At 39.0% G+C, this 19,516-nt stretch overlaps 1 protein-coding gene across 2 annotated transcripts in view; it reads left to right on the top strand.

Annotated features, from left to right (window-relative positions):
• MYH15 (myosin heavy chain 15) overlaps positions 1–19,516 on the top strand; it is a 170,705-nt gene that overhangs the window by 27,612 nt on the left and 123,577 nt on the right. Inside the window, exons 3-4 of one of the 2 annotated variants that reach the window (XM_011512559.3) lie at positions 12,874–13,018; positions 17,632–17,738. In XM_011512559.3, coding sequence (XP_011510861.1) covers positions 12,874–13,018; positions 17,632–17,738 — 252 coding nt within the window. Of the gene's footprint in view, positions 1–12,864; positions 13,019–17,631; positions 17,739–19,516 lie in introns of those variants that run through there. The other variant, NM_014981.3, reaches the window with a different exon arrangement.

The raw sequence follows: 19,516 nt of genomic DNA, 5'->3' as shown, positions 1-19,516 counted from the left end.
TTGGAAGTTCAATTTTATTTTTATTCGACAAATAATAATTGCATATATTTACAGGGTATACTGTAATGTTTCAGTATGATATATATCTAATTCTGACCCTAATTTATACCCAGAAATACTGACCATCACCTTATTTTATTTTAAGATAATCTTTATTGCACAAAATGATATTTTCATTATAGAAAGAGAAGAGTAGAAAATTTAGAGTTGCAAAATAATTTTTAAAAGAATCCATAATCCCACCATCCAGAGATAGCCAATTTGGAACTTTTATTATGCATATAATCTTAAATATACTGTAAATACTGTTTTATAATTCATTCTTATTTAAATATCACAAACATCTTTAATAATGAATTCTCCTTCTCAGAAGCATATGATCTTACATTGTAACAAGTATGAAACTATCACTTTATATCCACACATCAAGTCCTTTCGCAAATGTTCTTGTTCTCAAATCACACCAACAAAATTGGTAAAGGAAGAAGATGGGGGCCTTGGAAGTGAGAGGATTTTTTCTTTCCTTTGTAAATCTGTAGCAAATCTGCGTGGAAGATGCCCTCTTTTCCTCCCTGTATCACCTAATACATTCTAACATCTTTTATGATATCAACCCTTCTATTGAGATTAGGAACAGGAAGGAATAACGGATGTTTTAAATTGTGTCTCAAAACACCATCGTATGAATTATTTCGCCCTCAAATAGTTCTGTAGCATCTGTATAGTAAACGCTATAAAACATTTCCTCTTTAGCAATTATTAATCAATTAGTAAGATTTCAGGTTTGAATTTTGGTTCTGTGAATTACACTACTAGATCAACTACATGTGAAGCAGAACAACTTGTGGTTGTCAACATGCAAGAAATCTTCAAAGGGGCTTCTATGGTGGGCATAGTTACTTTAATTTTGTCGTCAAGTCAATTATCCATAGATTCTATGGAATTCAATCATTTGAATACAGCAACTATTGACAGAGCTTATTCTCACTTGATTGTTTTAAAATACACCACTTACTTTACATTAAGACCCTTGTTTTGATCCTTATTCTCTGTTCAACCCAGAGAAGAAGTAACACTGCCTCACATTTCTGGGGTTATAATAATGCCCTAGGAAAAATTTGAATCTCCAGGGTCACCACACCTATCTACCCTTTAGATTTGTCAACTACCAAATACCCACTAAGCCACATCAGAATCTCCCTGATCATGCCTCATGCCCTTTCTTGGGATTTTTTTGTTGTTGTTGATAGAACCACAGTCCCCCTCTGTCTTTCCACCATCTTCACCACATACATCTCCTATTGCTCCCCACCACCTGCCCTCCGAGTCTATTGGTGCATGTCCCTCCCAACCTTTCAAAAATGGAAACAGGCTTATTACTATTAACAGCTGTCTCTCATTTATTTCAAACTAAACCCCTCTTAAAACCGGTCTTGTTAGTTTCTTCCACAACTGAACATCTTGAATCCTCAGAGCTCCTTGAAATGCAAGTTAAACTGTTTTGTCTGCTTTATCTGAACTGAATCTTTTACAAATGTCTGGACACAATACCACACCCTTTTACTCAGGCCCCAAGCACACCTGAAAATGGTTTGCAGTCTCCCAAAGGCCAAGTAGGGCACTTTAATGTCCATTTCCTGTGAACAAAAAGCCAGCCAGGGCGCTGTATCTATTGCTTCATCTCATATTGCCTGGGATTTCTGTGAGGTTACTGGTGACTTCAGTTTACCCATTTACAATCACTGGAGATTCTAATTAAATCTCATTCCTGTATGAAGCAACAAAGATCATCTCAATTAGACTGCCATATTGATTCATTTTGGTAAAAATTGATTGGGTATAATTATACAGTACTTGCTTCAGCATTTCTTATTAGTTTACTTCTGCCCTCAATGCTGTTGTAATAGGCTTCAGGAGAGGTGTCTCTCTATTCTTTTATTGCTCAGTGGGAAATGGTTAATAAATTGGTCTGGGAAATAGTTATGCAGAACTGACCCATGAGTAGTGAGAACTGATCGCATGAACTATTTCCTATAACTCAAAGAGTTTCCTTTTTTTTTTTTAACATCATTTCCCAAAAGTCATTTTAAAAAAGTTCAGAAAGTCCTTTGCTCCAGAAAGACATTTTCAGGTTTTGTAAAAAGCTTATAAGTCCTAAGAAAGTAATTCAAAGTCAAGGGTCGACTGGCTAATCTCCCCTTTTGTAGCAATCAATTAGCTGTTTGCTTCACCTAGACACTCAGTAAAAGAAAATTTTCTCAATGTTGAAAGAGGCAAATAGAAATACATTTCCTTGGATAGACAAGACACTTTTAAAAATTACACTTTTGGGAGGGGGGAAGAAATTAAAGAACCAAATGAGATGTATGAGATAAAAATTATATATTATAATTATTACAAGAATATATTTTGAAGCTCAACATCTAGGCTCAAATCTTTTCTCCCAAAATGACTAGCTTATCACCTCTGCCTTTGTTTCCACATCTGTAAAATGGGAATAATAAACCCTATCTTACAAGGTTGTTATGAGGATTATATTAACTCACATATGCAAATTGATTGGAACAATCACTTGGAATATAATCCACCCTTAATAAATATTCTTTCTTAGTATTCTCAGAATAGCCTAAATAAATAGTAGATATCTATGATTAACTATTTTCTTGGAGATATGGAAAATGTTGAGACCCTTAACTTAATTGCTCCAAATCACTGGAGAGATAGCACTAGAGCCCAAGACTCCAAAATTGATGCCACCAGAGACGGTGTTGCTGCTTCTCTTTTAATATTGTCTAATCCTATTATGTAGCAAGCATTTGAGGAATGAGTTAAATTAGTCTGCGGATTTTGGTTATAGAAATGGGATCGTTTTCTGACATCTCATACCCTTGCCTCAGAGACATTTGGGGTGCCAAATCCAGATCCAAGGGTTCAACTTCTTAAAAACCAGTAGACAAATTTAGAAACAATGGCAAAGTTGACTGAAGCTGTCATCCTTGACCTTGACAAGAGTGTATAAAGTCTTGACTCAGCACTGGTCTGCCCATTTCTTTTGATCTTTCCAAGGTAGGTTTCTATCTCTCCCTTTTCCACCAATACATTGAATAGTGGGTATTAAAAACAATTTGCTATTTTTACTGATAGTTTTCGCATGGGGGTTGTTATACGAAACAAAATATTTTAAGAAAAAGATGGTGTATTCATAGAATAGAATAGTTGCTCTGAGGTGAGAATTTTAACAGCAATTTGTTTTACTTTCGGTATAATCTTTTGGAGAATGTATGTCTTTTACTTATCATACTGAAAACTATATTGACAAGTCTTGGTCCCTGCTAGACTTAAATCTTGAAACAGAAGCCACATCTTAATTATTCTAGTATCCCAAGCATTTTGACAATTCTTGGCACTTATTGAATGTTCAAAAAATTGTTATATTTAATTGAACTGGAATACATAATATTCTAGTTTTATTTTAGATAAGTGTATCTGAATATCTATTATGCAAAGATGTTGACTACAATTGTACTTAGTTAAAACTCATAATTATCCTGAGTTAAGAACATTCAGAAAATATGAAACCAATAAATCGATGAAAATAATGCTATTAATACCTTGAATTTATATATCATCTTTTAGAATCACTAAATATATTTAATGCATGTCTTTTGTGCTGAATAACAGCACCTGCAATTCTAAAGTAAGTGTTACTCTATTATGCAGATCGTGGGTCACTGACCCTAAGGAATATTATCATGACAATGTTCCATTTCAGCTAATCTTTATTCCGTTGACTGTGGTATTACCTAGTATTTTATAGGAGGGTATATTTGCCTTGAATTCTGAAGCACAAAAGTATAGCCCTCGATCTTAGTTTCCTTCAGTTTCTCTTCATAGAGCTATCATCAGTATTTTTCTCTCAACTCTGCTCAAAACTATCCATACTTTCAGCCTGCTCCATTGTTATTGGTTGGTGAATGTGAGCCAATCATGTATTTTGCTGGTCCCTGCATACTCACCTGTAAAATATGGAGCAATGAGCCAGCTGTTATTAAAGAACTTTTAGTTCTAAGACTCCATGGATTCAAAAATCTTGGAGCAATACAATTCAGATGTATTGACTTAAATACCTTTATTTTAAAAATAAACTACTTATTTAAATCTTTCCTTACCAGTCTGGTTTTCTTGATATGGTATACCAGTTGATTTTTATCCTTAGCATACTTCTTTTGAACCACAAATCTAAATTTTTCTCATCCAACTTAAAAATGAAGTGGTGATGCTTTTTAAACCAAGGACATGTTGCCTGTATGGACATGTTGCATCTTGGTTAGATGCTTTTCTAACCAAGAACATCAGCCTCCTTGCTGGCTGGAGCTCAGCCAAGGAGGAAGTATAGCATCATGCTTAAGAGCAAGGACTCAGGAGTCAGACTGATGGGTCTGCTCTATTTGTTGGTTCATTCCCTACGTGTTTATTAATGCTCTACCCAAAGAACTAGAGTCTTCTCTGAGTGCTGCAGACCTAGTCCTGCCCTCAGATTACTTATGTTTCATTAGGAAGATGGGCAATTAAACAAATAATAATAAAATAGGATGAAAATTATCATGATGCAAGTAGCAAAGAAATCTAAGAACACATCTAGCTGACAGAACGAACCTAGAGAATACCTTCTTGTAGAAATGTTGCTTACTGAAGACCCAAAGGATGATTAAGAATTAGCCAGATGAGGGACAGGGCTGAATGTTCCCGGCAGGGGTCACATGACGTGTGAACACCCAGAGGTCAGAGAGTGCTGTTGGCATCTACTAGTAGTGCCCCAGCCAGGTCAGGCCTGGGGATGAGACAGCAAGAGAGATGAGGTGTGGGTGTCAGTCAAGCAAGAGGATGGAGAGCTCTATAGGCTCTGTTAACATGTTGGGCTTTTATCATAGGATGCGGAATGATTTTAAATAAGATAGTACAGTAACTGTGTTTCTCTACTTGGGGGCCTCATTCTGGATTGGCTGCTGTCGGGAGACTGAGAGAATACAGCAATACGCCCCCAGAAAAATGATGATGGCCTTGATCCAGATGTTGGCAGGGGTGATGGAAAGATGGAGATGGTTTTGAGTGATATTTAGAAAGAGTCAGCAGAGCTTGGCAATTGATTGGATGTAAAGGTGAACAAAGTAGGAAACAAGAATGACTTTAATGTATCTGGATTTAAAACTAGAGATAACACTTGCTAGTTCTCTGAGACTCAGTGTTTTCATATAATAAAGGTTATTACATATATCCTTCATAGAGCTACTGTAAAGTTAAAAGAGTTATTATGTATAAAACACTTAACCTAGTTCCTGGTGTGTGATACACACTCAGAACTCAGATTTGCTTTTATTAAATAGTATATTGGCACTGTTTCCAAAGGTATCATTTCAGGGATGTTTGAGATTCCTTCCTTTAAGTTGTAAACTGTTATTCTTAAAAATACAAATGTAGATGAGAGCGTTATGCCTCCTTGACCTGTATGGCCCTGTACATTGCTCTATCCTAGCACCTAGCATTTATCATACTGAATTATAGTCACTGATTATATCTCTGTTGTCCATGTCCATTAGAGTGGAAACTTCTTGAGGTCTTATTACTCTTTTAATCCACAGATCCTAAGAGGACATACTTTAAAATGAATGCATGACAGAATTTAATCAGAAGGTGGCCGGGTGCGGTGGCTCACACCTGTAATCCCAGCACTTTGGGAAGTCGAGGTGGGTGGATCACTTGAGGTCAGGAGTTCAAGACCAGCCTGGCCAACATGGTGAAACCCCATTCCTACTAAAAATACAAAAATTAGCCATGCATGGTGGTGGGTACCTGTAATCCCAGCACTTTGGGAAGTCGAGGTGGGTGGATCACTTGAAGTCAGGAGTTCAAGACCAGCCTGGCCAACATGGTGAAACCCCATTCCTACTAAAAATACAAAAATTAGCCATTCATGGTGTTGGGCACCTGTAATCCCAGGTACTTGGGAGGCTGAGGCAGGAGAATCACTTGAACCCGGGAGTCAGAGGTTGCGGTGAGCCGAGATTGCACCATTGCACTCCAGCCTGGGCAACAAGAGCAAAATTCCGTCTCAAAAAAAAAATTAATCAGAAGTTCTTCTCTGGATCAATAGCGAATAGCTCAGTGCAGAGATCCAGCATTTTGATCAGAGATTGGGAGGTAGTAAAGTGTAGGAGAAGGTAGTTCTGAAAGGATTAAAGAGCCAGCAAACGCTGGGAGATAGAAACTAGTGAAAAGAGGGAGCAAAAGAGAAATGTCAATGATACTCACAATTTGTATTGTGGATGGACCTTTGATTAGTAAATGAACAACTGGGAAAGAGAAGAAAAGGAAGAAGGGACCCCAGCAACCAGGGAGTGTCAAATGCTGCAGAGAGGTTGAGTAGGATTAGAGACTGAAAAGCACACAATTAGGATTTCTCTTCAGGAGATCATTAGAAAGAACAGTTTCTGTGGAGGGATGGGAGGAAAAGCCACATCCCAGTGGGAGGGGAGCGGGGAGCAGAATCTAGGAGTGTAAACTCCATTGCCTGGAGACCTATAGCTGTAATAATAATCACCCTTTGAAGTAAATGCTTTAAATAATCAATAATTTGTGCAATACTCTTGATTTGTAATTCAACCGTTTAACATTCCTCTTTGAAGAAGATAAACCTGCCTAAACCCCTGCTTTTGTAGAGAAATAAGCTGCGTATAAATAAATAAATTGCAGGTAGCGTAGCTGGTTAAGGGGTGGTAGATGTGTGCCTAAAGACTAACCACTTAAGATTTTCTATGGAGGAAACCTTGCTCAGTTAAGGCACATAACATGATTATCCCAGCAGCATGAATACTAGGAAGCAGCAGCATCATTTGTCTACCTAGTAGTGTCCCTAATTAGGAGCATCTTGCAGCATTTCCCCAGATTTGTGGCATTCACTGGGCCTTGTAACTCAAATGTGTTTCATTTACTGCCTTAAGACATATGTTTCAGCTTGTTTGGGATCATTTAAGTGCTTGATAATTCTTCCCTTCAGCTGTTGACATCTAGATAAATCCATTCTCATTTTCAGGCATTGTCTCCAATTTTAATAATGGAAGAGGCTATGTCAAAAGATGCTTAGTGTTTGTTTACTCAAAGGAATATTAATATTTGTTCTTATTACTTGCATCATGGCTTCCCAGCAGTAGAAGGCTTTGAAAGTAAACATGCATAATAACGTACCTTGATGAAGAACTCAAGCGAATCTAATCAATTATGATGAAACCGACTTAAAAATGTGTCAGGACTGCTAACATGAAAAGAGTTTAACTCTTTTAACAATTTACTTCATAGGCATCATTTGAGTTTCTGCTTATAGTTAAGGCACTGAAATGCCAAGGTGAAATGAATTTCTGCACCCCCTCATCCCCATATTTATTGTCTAGCTCTGATTGAAAGAGATGAGTGCTGAGTGATAGATTTACTGTGGTCAGCAGTAAGAAGACTAGAAAGTGTGACCTTTCAGGAGCGATCACCATCTAAATAGACAATTCCCTTGTCTCACCTCCATCTACTCAGCTAGTAGCTGCCACTATGTGAATTTCCCTCTTTACTTCCCCATGGTACCATCCTCCATTATGATTTTGCACATCTCAGATTCAATAAGCAATTTGGAAAGCAAAGCTACTGTCTTACATATTTAGCACAGTGTGCAAAGACTGCATAAATGCTTGTTGAATAGTAAAAAGAACAGTTAACAGTGATTGAGGTTTTACTATGCACCAGACAATGTGCTGAGTTTTATACACAATCTTCACATCATCTTAGGAGAGAAACTAAGAAACTTTGTTGGGACAGAGACTGAGACATAATGCGTTAGTTAAGGATATTTTGATGGCAAATAACAAAAACTCACTTCAGATTATTTAAAGTTGGGAAAGAAATTAGAATGTACTGGAAGGTCATTGAGAGCGCTTATGGAAATCAAAGGCAGAAATTAAATATAGGTCTCAGGAGGTACTGTTACCAGGAAGGGTCTTTGAGATATAAGAAAGTGATCTCTCTCTTCCTTTGGTCCCTTATTGCTGCTTCTCCTCATCCCTGTGACTCCCTCTCTATGGATGCTTTTGCTGATTAGCGTGCATGTGGCACCATGTGACCACACCACAATGCCAACCTCAACCCTCAAGTTTGCATCACTCCATTCAAGCAAAGAGCCCAGATGGAGAGTGGCATCTAAATCCCAAATCTGTATTCCAGGGGGATACCCTGATTGTCTCTGATTGTCCCAGATCAGATACTGAAGCCTGGTTTATAAGTTGGGCCAGGACACCAGTGTCACCTTACAGACATGGCTACTTGCGGCTCATTCCTGTGGATGAGAGCAGGCACTTCTAATAGGAGTGTGGGCTCAACAGGCACTCCAAACTGTGTCGTCTAAAAGTGGATAAGAACTGGTAATTATACAATTAATTATCAATAAAATTAATTATCAATAAAAGTTGACGATGAATTGAATGTGGCATGAGATAGAAGGAAAATTAGAGATGCCTCCAAGGGTTCTATCCTAGGGGATTAGGAGGCTCCAGGATGAGACCCTTCCATTGGAATGGTGGGCAGAGAATGAGACAGTGAAAGAGCCTGTGAAACAATAATGTGAGGAACGTGTTTTCTCATCTTAAGAAAACATAACTCTGCCTACAGTTTCCATTCAGACTAGTGAGTTAGGAGTCGTGGCTGTATAAGCTTACCTCTTCCCTTCACTGCTACAGTCCCCCTCTGGGCTTCTTTTCTGAACTTTGCCATATGACCAGCTCCACCCCCCCACCCCAAAGTGTGAAAATTTCTCTCTACAGATTTGTCTAATGCATAATAATTCAAGACAGAAGAAACTTCTATCCCTATTCAAATCTATTACTCCAAGAGGGCACAGTATTTATTCTGCCCATTATTGTACCCCTGGGCCTAACATGGGCAATTACAGATGGGCAATACATATATATTGCATGAATATATTCAAACGTATATTTGAAAAGGACGTTTTCAAAAAAGGTGTTTGCAAAATACCTGAGGAGGGAGAGGGGGATAGCTGCAGAAATACAACCAGTATAAAAATAGCTAATTTCCAAAATTGTGACTGAATTTCTAAAAGAACTACAGGCACTACACTTAAAAGTAGGTTGACCAACTTGTTCTAGTTTTCCTGGGACTTTTCTGGTTTTCACACTGAAAATCTCAAGCCCTGGGAAATACCTCAGTTCCGGGAAGACAGGGATGGTTGGTCATCTGGGCTCGTGACTTGTCTCAGCTGGCAGCTGTTCAAACATATTTTTTATGAAAGGCAGCTAGGTCAGACCAACATGATTCTTTCTTGGCTAAGAGGAAAAGCTTACATCTCAGCTCTCCCTTCCCAGTAAGGGCTTCCCATTCTTTGTCTTTACTTTATCAACTGGTAACTAAGATACACCTGGAAATTGTGCCGTATCAATATAAACAGGATACGGATGGCTTATATGGTGCTCAGTCCCTGTAAAGGTGAACTCTAGAACAGAACAGGATGCATTATTTTGCTGTGTTACAAACTGAATTATGTCATGTACATGATGATCTAATGTCTTTCTCCGAATCCAACCTTCTGATAGTGATGACGTTGTCTATGTGCCCTGTGGATCATGCAGACAAGTAACCTGGACTTTGCAGTTATGGAAAATGTGTACATTCATTGTCAGTTTAGAAATTGCCATCTCAAGTCCTCAATTCTCTTATTAGTGGAGTGTCCATATGTCCCTATTCACTTGGGTCAGTCTTAGATTAAGTTTGTTGTCCTGATTTAAATATTAATGGCATCCCCTCTTAAAAATCCCAGTAAGAAAAAATAGGTCCAGGTTTGGGTGATGAATTGTATGCACACTTCTGAGCATAGTTATGTGATTCCCAGAACCTAATCAGTATGTATTGATAAATCAAGCTCCTGAATGTTCAAAGGCAGAGCTAGGTCCTAGAAGTGAGGTACTCCCAGCATTGTGCATGCAGCCCGTCTGCCCTATCCTTTCCTATTCTCCTTCCAGGATTCCAGTGCTGCCCCCTGCTCTCTTCTGTCTTGTAAATATATGCAGTATCAGATACAAGTTTGTTTATCATGGTGTCAGAATTCTCCGATAAACATGTGTGAGTATACCAGTCTCAAATATAATTTCCTTTCAACATGTAGATGAACTTTTCCTCTAAGAGAATTACCTTCAGTTCTATACTCATCTGTGTTTCTCTGTCATTCACAAAATATAGCTTCCTGATTCTTTTGCTGGCAAGGTTAATTTGTTTACTTCTTTTGGGCATTCGGGCTCTTTCATTTTCTATTTTAAGATGTTGCTAGGACTGGGCTGTGACAAGTGTGTTATTCTATAAAATTGTAAAGCCATATGTGCAACTGGAACCTAAAGGGACCCAGAGGTCAGTAGGACATTAGGGGGTTAATGGAAGCTGGATGGGGCCAAGGAGATAGAAGGATTTCGATCCTTTTTTTGCTCAGGTGAATCATTCTCTTGGCTTCAGTTACCTATCTCCAAATGGTTGCCAGGCCCGCCCCACTCCTGGCACCTAATGTTTCCTACTTTCCAGTGCCTGCTCCTACACATTCTGTTCTTTGTACACCTTTAAATATGTTAAATGCTCCAGACTTGGAAGGAGAGTTACACAGCTGTGTGCTCTGTTTTGCTGTGATCTTTTCATCTCTGATGTTATAATAAGAACTACTTGTAAAAAATCTGTTAATTATGAAATATAAGCACATGGCACACATTGACAGACTAGAATGGAATGAAATGAAAGGTAGTTCTCTCCTTCTCCCACCCATCTCCTTCTCTCACTACTCAGACAGACATCCATTTCTTAGGTATGTTTCAGGAAGTTTGTACACACATGTATTAATGGATATCTTTTATATTCCAAATATACTTCCCAAGCTCTACTGTCTACTGAGTGCAAGCCACTAGGAAGTCACACATACAGAGAGGAGGAGGACCCAGACAAATCCAGACTCACAACTTGTCTCCCTGACTACAGCTTTTCCTCATCCTCATCTACCCAGAATATGCCACCAGAGCCATTTTCCCAAAATACTGCTTTCCTCATGTTCCTGCCCACAGAGTTGATGATGTTTCCTACCATCTATTTCTAAATTTCTCTGCCTTATTTTCAGAGCTTTCCTTTACCTTGAGTTCTTCTATATTCAGATGTCTAACAATGTTATTGCTGTTATAATGATTACAAAACCTGAATCTGAATGCTCACCCGCAGAAAAATCAGTTTTGTCTTTTTCCCTGAGAAATGCTGCCTTCAGTCGCATCTCTGGAGGGCCATCATTTATGTTGTTTCTCTTGAGCATCTTTTCTTCTCTCCACTTTAGGAAATGTTCCTATACATTAAGACTAGTCCTTGCATTACATAGGTGAGGAAAATGCATCTACAGGGACTAAGTGATTTCCCACAAGTCACATGCCTATTTGCTGGCAGAAATAAAACTAACTCTTAGCCTGAACCAGTAGGCTTTGCTTTAAATCATACTCCTTTAAACTAGATCCTACAAGTGGTATCACTATACCTATCCAAGCCACCACAAAGAAGAGAGCAGATTAAGTGCAGTAAAATACATTAGTTTATTGGATTTGTTCATTGCAAGATAGTAAGTGATTACAGTTCATTCTGAAGTGGGTGCTGATCTGTCCTCAAAGACAGCACCTGAGCTAAGCAAACTTGGCAAGTCCTTCTCTACCTTCTTACCTATAAATGTGATGAGTAACACTTGCCTTGCATGCTTGAGTGAAGAGGAAGACTTTTTTTGTCCAAATAGAGAGAATAGCTTCTCATTTAAGATCATGAAGGCCCAGTTTCCATTTCTTCTTCTCCCTGTTATCAAATGTAAAGTGTGAAAATTAAAGATAAACTATGTCCAGTGTTTGGTATACAGTGGGTGCTCAGTGACTTCAGCCTTGGTAATTTGTCCAGCAACTTAGTCCCTCTAAGACTGATACTTGCCTTGCTTGAGCCAATGAACTTCTTTATTTATTCCAGCTTCACTCACATCACCATGTAACCTGCTTGCCACCTTCAGCCTGGGCTTCTTCATTACTGCTCTTGGCCAGGCCTCCCAAATGCCCAGCTGTGCCTGTATTTTTGTAAATCATTTGCTCCCAGACACTTATCTCTGCCAAGATACTTATCTTTTTATCCCTTTACTGTCTATTACTGAACATTTATCTGAATCACTTCTCTTTGTAACCATACTCTGTCTATAACGGTCTGTCTGCTTGGGGGTAATTAGATACCTCGAAACCCCCCTCCACGCCTATCAAAGGCCTAGTGTCCGCAACTTGATGTTTCTCCATCTGGAATATCCTACCACCTGTCAGAACTCCATGGCGCAGGGTGGCATTATGACTTTCACTGACTACAGGCACTTCTGTCTTTTAAGGACCATTTCTCCACAAAAAAATATTAAAAATCAGATTTCATAACTGTGTTGGCCTAAAGATGAATATAATCCAGGCTCTGTTCATTAATATGTATCATTCATATTACTTTTATATTTTTCTTCTGATTTAAAAATAAATTAAACATTTTCATGGGCCCCTAAAAGCATTGTGGGCCTCAGGCACTGTGCCTTCTATGTCTAGTGGGTAAGTCAGCCCTGCTAGAGTCAGATATTCTTGAGTCCAATTTTGTATAAATTTGAGACATAGCGAAGAGAAAGAAGGGGCACAGGTAGTTACAGGAAAACTTAACACTCTTTAGTCTATCTATGTGAATGGTTGCTCATTTAGAGCTTGATGCCTTATTTCCACTTTTTTCTTCTCTGTATCAATTTTTTTTTTTCAGGTTGAATCTTGCCTACTCACGTTTAGGGCCTTTTTTTGGTGGATTGCTTTAATAAAGATGGATCTGTCAGACCTTGGAGAAGCCGCAGCCTTCCTCAGAAGAAGTGAAGCTGAGCTGCTTCTACTACAGGCCACAGCCTTGGATGGTGAGACATGTGGTGGTTGCTGGCTTCACTTTATTTTGCTCCTTCAAGATGGTGACTAAGATATTTGATTGACAGAGAAGAGCCATCAGTTCTAGAGCCTAACTTATTTGCTTAGGGTATGATCAGCCTCTAGGAAACTGAGCAATTGAGGGCCTCTGAGTATCCAGGGTAGGAATGGAAGTACCCACAGAAGAGGAGGGTGGCTGGGAGGCAGTCTAGGCCCGGGCCCTACACACTTGATCCTAAGACAGATTTTCTCTTCAAGGAGCCCCTGTTGTAACACAGACACCTGCAGGAATGGCCAGACAAAGCCTTTCCTAGAAACCTCTTAGTTATCAGTGAATGCCACAGTAGAGAGAGGGGCCTGTGACTTAGACTGGTGGGTGGGGTTTGTACATTGTGGGGAAGAAGAAAGGGAAAGACTCTGGTAAGGCTGCAGACTTTGAAGTTGTCTCTGGCTCTCCAGAATTTTTTGATGTTGGAGCCTTGCCTCTAGCGGTCTTCTAGGTCAGCAGGGTCACTCAGCCAACACTAAGCAAAAGGTAATTAGGAGACTTGCTCACCCTGATTCATAATTCCTTGGTAGTTACAGGCAAGGACAAAGGTTAATGAGGATTTAGCCTTAAAAAAAAAAGGCTAAGTTCTACATTGAAATCTCTAAATAAATGTTATTCTTTTTCCTGCTACCTTTACATGTCTGTGTTGAATTTCAGCTAATTGGAGATTTAGAAATCAGATTCACAGTATGATATAACATGAAGCTACCTACATGTCTTAATCCAAAATTATTCAGCAGTGCAACATAAGGACTGGCTGAATGTCGTTCTAGTATTCAGAATTAGTCAACATTAGACTTTAATATGACCAATTATAATTCAAGCCAGTTATGGAGGATATTATATTTCCATCACAGACCAGTCCTGGATCAGTTCCCAGTTTCCAGTCATTGGATTCATGACTGTGATTGGATTTTAGGCTAATTATAATCCATCAAATCAAATACGATAACAGAACTATCCCTGAGGTCAGAACTGGTCATGCAGAGGCTTATCGCAGGTAGTTAGATAATGGAGGACAAGATAATAGTGATGCCAGGAAGAAAAAAAAATTGAGCCTAAGCATTAGAGATAATTGGATGATGCATTTATTAAAATCAGCACCATAAATAATTACTTAAAACATAGCAATCTACATAATTTCCTGTTAATTTTTTGGACCAAACAATCCTTCCTCATAGAAATGCACTGGCAGCAGAGACAAGTGTTAGCAAAAGTTGTTCATCTTCCCAGGCTGGTAGACAATGGAGTTTGCTTTTTTGAACTCGGGTCAAATGGAAGTAGTGTGATGACGAGTATTTAGCAGGTAGTCTTGGGATCAAATTCCCTGTCCTTGACCATCTCTGGCTGGGTAATTAGAGCAAATCACTTCACTTTATTGAGCCCTGGTTTCCTCATGTATCAAAGGAGATAATAATACTTGTCCGGTCTGCCTTCCTCCATTGCTGTGGGGACCAAATGAGACTATAAATGTGAAAAATAAATATAATGCATTATTATGATACCCGAGAAGGAAAACTAGAATTCCTGGGTGACAGTGAAGAAGCCCAGGTGGTTGTAGAGCTAGGACAAAACACCATTCGAAAGCCAAATGTAAATAATTCTTATATTAGAACATGTAAGCGATCTATTTAAAATAACTATAAGACTGAATATAGTATTACCCCTGTTTTAATCAATATCCTAGAAAAAAGATTCAAAAGAAATGCTTCAATACATAACAGTGGTTATCTCTGAGTTGTTTGATTATGGGTGATTAAAAACATTCTTTTCTTCATACATTATTCTTCAAGTTTTCTTCAATAAGCACATATTAGCTTTATATTGGAAAAGATATTTAATTGTCTAAAAAATGGAATCATATAGAAAAAGGCCTACTTTACAGATGAGAATACGAAGGCCAAAAGAGATGAAGTCATGTGGCTTTATATCTTTTTACCAGCAAAGCCAGTGTTAAAATCCTGGCTGCCTCCCTCAAATCCATTGCTATCTACATTTCCAGCTCTGCATTATTCATGAACACCAGGAATTAAAATTGACAGAGTTCATTTACTTCATTTTTTAAAATGTCCCTGTCAGGGTTTGGGTCTCCTATGAGAAAGGATTTCTGATAATTTTTATTCCCCACTAAGTGTTTCCAGGGGTGGTAAGAGAGAGACTTCATCATGAGGCAGGTGGTGAGCCTACTCCTGGAGAGAAGAATTGGAGGAGAAAAAGCTAAGAATGTGTTAGAGGAGGCAGGCTGTAATGCAGGAGCACTGATTCAGGAGGTGGATGATCTCATTTCTAGAGTCATTATTGTAGTGACTGCCACTAATTAGCTATGTGACTATGGGCAACTCTCTTCATCTCTCTCCCAAGGTTCTTTTTCTAAAAAGAAAGAGAAAGAGAGACAGAGGGAGAGAGACTGTGCCAGGTGACCTTCAAGTTTCTTTCAAGTGATAACATTTGGTTTAAAATGCAGAGCATTTTACCTTAAACACACACACAAAATGTATGCTAACTGGGTGCTTTTCAAAAACAAGCATATTTTCATAGACATAACACAAAGCAAAATCAGTTTTTGCAAAAAGGGACCAAAATAATGAATACAATGCAAAGCCAGTATTTAAAACACAAATGATAAGTAGAAAGCAAATGCACAATCAGCTAGATGGGAACATAAACTCCTCTTGCCAAGCAGTTTTAGTGGTGAATTGTTTGTAATCAGGGAAACGAAGAAGGCAGCACTGATAGCAAGAAAGTCGTGAGCAACCAAATTCTTTGCAGAAACAAGCATGGTGGAAGAAGGGGCAAATGGTGCCCAACTTCAGCTCCTTTGTACACACTCCTTCCCCAGTCTTATTGCCTTCCTCTGGGAAATAAGGACCACCTGTCCTGCGGCAGTGAGCCCTCTCTAGCTTTTGTGACTCATATATTGGAGGTGATGGTTGGTGACTGAGTTCGCATTACCTGTTAGTGCTGTGGTTATAGTGGGGTTTTCACCTGTGTCTTCCCTAGCCATTGGCTAACATTTTCCCTCCTTCAGCCAAAGGCTTTCCCCATGTACCTGAGTAGCTGTGACCTGGGGACTTCTGTGAGCTTCTACTAAGGCTCATTTTCATATGTGTATATATATATATATATATATATATATATATATATATATATATATATATATTCATTTTCCTTTAAAAGGAAAGTATGATATATTGCATATACATACATAGACACACATATATATAATATGCTTTTAAAAGAAAATGAGCCAACTCCTGGGTTCAAGTGATCTTCCCCATTCAGCCTCCTGAATAGCTAAGATTACAGTCATGCACCATCACACCTGGTTAATTTTTATTTCTTTATTTTTTATTTTTGAGATAGAGTATCACTCTGTCACCCAGGCTGGAGTGCAATGGCACGATCTCGGCTCACTGCAACCTCCGACTCTCTGGTTCAAGTGATTCTCCTGCCTCAGCCTCCTGAGTAGCTGGGATTACAGGCACACGCCACCATGCCCAGCTAATTTTTGTATTTTTAGTAGAAATGGGGTTTCACCATGTTGGCCAGGCTGGTCTCGAACTCCTGACCTCGTGATCTGCCCGCCTCAGCCTCCCAAAGTGTTGGGATTACAGGCGTGAGCCACTGTGCCCTGCCTTATTTGTTTTTTGTAGAGACAGGACTGGGGGAGTAAAGGGTCTTGCTATGTTGCCCAGGCTAGTCTTGAACTCCTGGGGTCAAGAGATCCTCTCACCTTGGCCTCCCAAAGTTCTGGAATTATGAACATGAGCCACTGCACCCAGGCCCTTAAAATCATATTTTTTATTCATCATCACTGTCTATCTGCTTCAACTGGGAGAGAAAGAGAAGCTGCCTCAGGTGTTCATAAGAGTTCTGGCTCATTTCACCCCAGACCTCTTGTTGGTTAATCAGTTTATGGAGGGCTACTTTGCTTAGGGATGGGGTATAGGAACTGAGGACGCTGAAGAGAGAAAAATAACATATTGGGGGAAATAATATGAGCCGGTTATGTTGTTTAACAAAAACAACCCATATTCTCTCTCCTCAACCTGCCCCCCTGCCAATTCCACCATGTAATTCACTTAGCTGATTTCCATTCCAAGATTAGAAATAAGGTCTAAAGAAACCCTGAAGAACATAACCATTAATCTAAATTTTCACTTAGTTGTTCCCAGACTTTTTCTGAATGAGTTTTCTCGGGGGAGGGAATCTGGAAGGGGTGCAAGCACCAGGGCAACCACCAAAGTCCTGGGGTGTGAGTGGAGGAAAGTGTTGGGGTTGGGAGGGGTGTTGGGAGGTAACTTTCTTGTAGCAAAATGGTCTATGGTGCCCCCAAGCTGCTGCTTGCTGAGATGTTTCTTGTTCCTGTAGTGCCATTATGTGAGTGAGTGTATCTTCAGAATGAGCTTTCATGATTTTATCTGACTTTGCAAGTTCCTGTAGTCAACAAGCTGATTTAGCAGAAATGAGATTAGATCTATCAGTATGAAAGTGTCCAGTATGTATTTCTGTAAGTACTATAGCTATAATCCATTTTTTTTTTTTTTTGCTCTACAGGGAAGAAGAAATGCTGGATTCCTGATGGTGAGAATGCTTATATCGAGGCTGAGGTAAAAGGGAGTGAAGATGATGGAACAGTAATTGTTGAGACAGCAGATGGAGAGGTAAAGAAATTTTTATTTCATTGCAGTGATGACTATGTTCTCTATCAAATAACTAAATATATTATTTCTATAATATTTTAATTAAAGATCTGGGGTAGGAGATGCCACTGACTCACTTCGGAGTCATTCATTTTAAGAAGCTCCTCCTTAAGTCAGTGGGCACAATGGCTCATGCCTGTAATCTCAGCATTTTGGGAGGCCGAGGCAGGCAGATTGCTTGAGCCCAGGAGTTTGAGAGCAGCCTGGGCAACATGGCAAAATCCTGTATCTACAAAAAATACAAAAATAAACCAGTCGTGGTGGTACATGCTTGTAGTCCCAGCTACTTGGAAGGCTGAGGTGGGAGGATCACCTGAGTCTGGGGAGGTCGAGGTTGCAGTGAGCAGAGATCACATCACTGCACTCCTGGGCAACCAGAGTGAGATCCTGTCACCAAAAACAAACAAACAAACAAAAAAACTCCACTTACCATCAAAGATTTAATGAAGAACAGTGAATAAATCAGAGTAAAACAATTGCCAGTGGCAAGGATTATTGACTAGAACTCACAGCCATTTCTACTTTTTCATCAATGTTTCAAGTCAGTATTTTTAAAAAAAGGTATCCTGTGGGGTGAATAATGACTTAAGGAACCACGAAGCAAGCTGTGTTTGTAGGATCAAGAATGAGATGTATAATTTGAGTAAAAATGGCATAGTGTCACAGAAGCCAAGAGATGGGGGAATGGCCAGTAATGACAAATGCCACAGAAGAAGATTAAGAGTTGGAGAAAGTCTTGGATTTCAGAATTAGGAGGTCATCTATGACCTTTGTAAGAAAAGGTTATATCAAGTGTTGGGGTACAAGCTAGACTGTAAGGTTCACAGAAGAAATGTGTAGTGAAGCCATAATACCCGCCAGCCCCTTCTCCCTGCCACCAAGGCATTCAGAGCAGCAGGGTAACATTGAGAAGACAGCTCACTCTCAGAACCTTTGCCTACATTGCTGACTTCACATTACCTGCCACCCCGTGGTGTAAGCCGGGCCCCATTTCTGTCCTACTTAAATGAACTCTTCCTTATAGATTTTACAGATGATTCCCTGCCAATATTCACTTCTCTAAACTCCTTTAAATTCTTCCTTTTCCCAAATCCATAACAAGCCACATCCTGTAACAAACAGATATTATTGATATCGAGAAAGTTTGTCTTTTTAATGCTATCTTTGTTTTTAGGCAATTTACGATCTAACATGTTGCCATCTGATTTTTAAAATTCTGGAAGCCACTCATAAACTACCACATAGAATGCTTTCATATGTCTTCCTGACAGTCAATATCTGTTACGTAAAAAAATCTCAAATTAGGTAGATGTTATTTAACTCTTCAGGAAATTAAGAAAAGAACTTGGTGCTTTTTAACTGGAACATAAATAGGTGGACAAGGGAAAATTCAGCAAGAAATTTTCCTTAGTCCTAAATCAGTAAACTAAGAAATAGACTCAATCAGGGTCACTTAGCCTTGGGACAATATTTTATTAGAAAAGATCCCCCAAAGAAATCTTGTGCCCATTAGCAGTCACTCCCCCTTCTTTCCTCCTGCACTAGCCCCAGGCAATCACTGATCTACTTTCTAACTCTATAGATTTGCCTATTCTAGCAATTTCAGATAAATAGGAGCATATAATTGGTGGCCTTTTGTTTCTGGCTTCTTTCACTAAGCATAATGTTTTTGAGGTTCACTCACATTGTCACATGAATAAATATTTCATTCCTTTTTATGGATAAATAGTATTCCATTA

The sequence above is a fragment of the Homo sapiens genome, chromosome 3 (genome assembly GCF_000001405.40).
Source record: "Homo sapiens chromosome 3, GRCh38.p14 Primary Assembly".
In the NCBI taxonomy this organism is placed as follows: Eukaryota; Metazoa; Chordata; class Mammalia; order Primates; family Hominidae; genus Homo; species Homo sapiens.
Note: the sequence above shows the minus strand (reverse complement) of the source record. Positions and strands in the feature narration are given on the sequence as shown.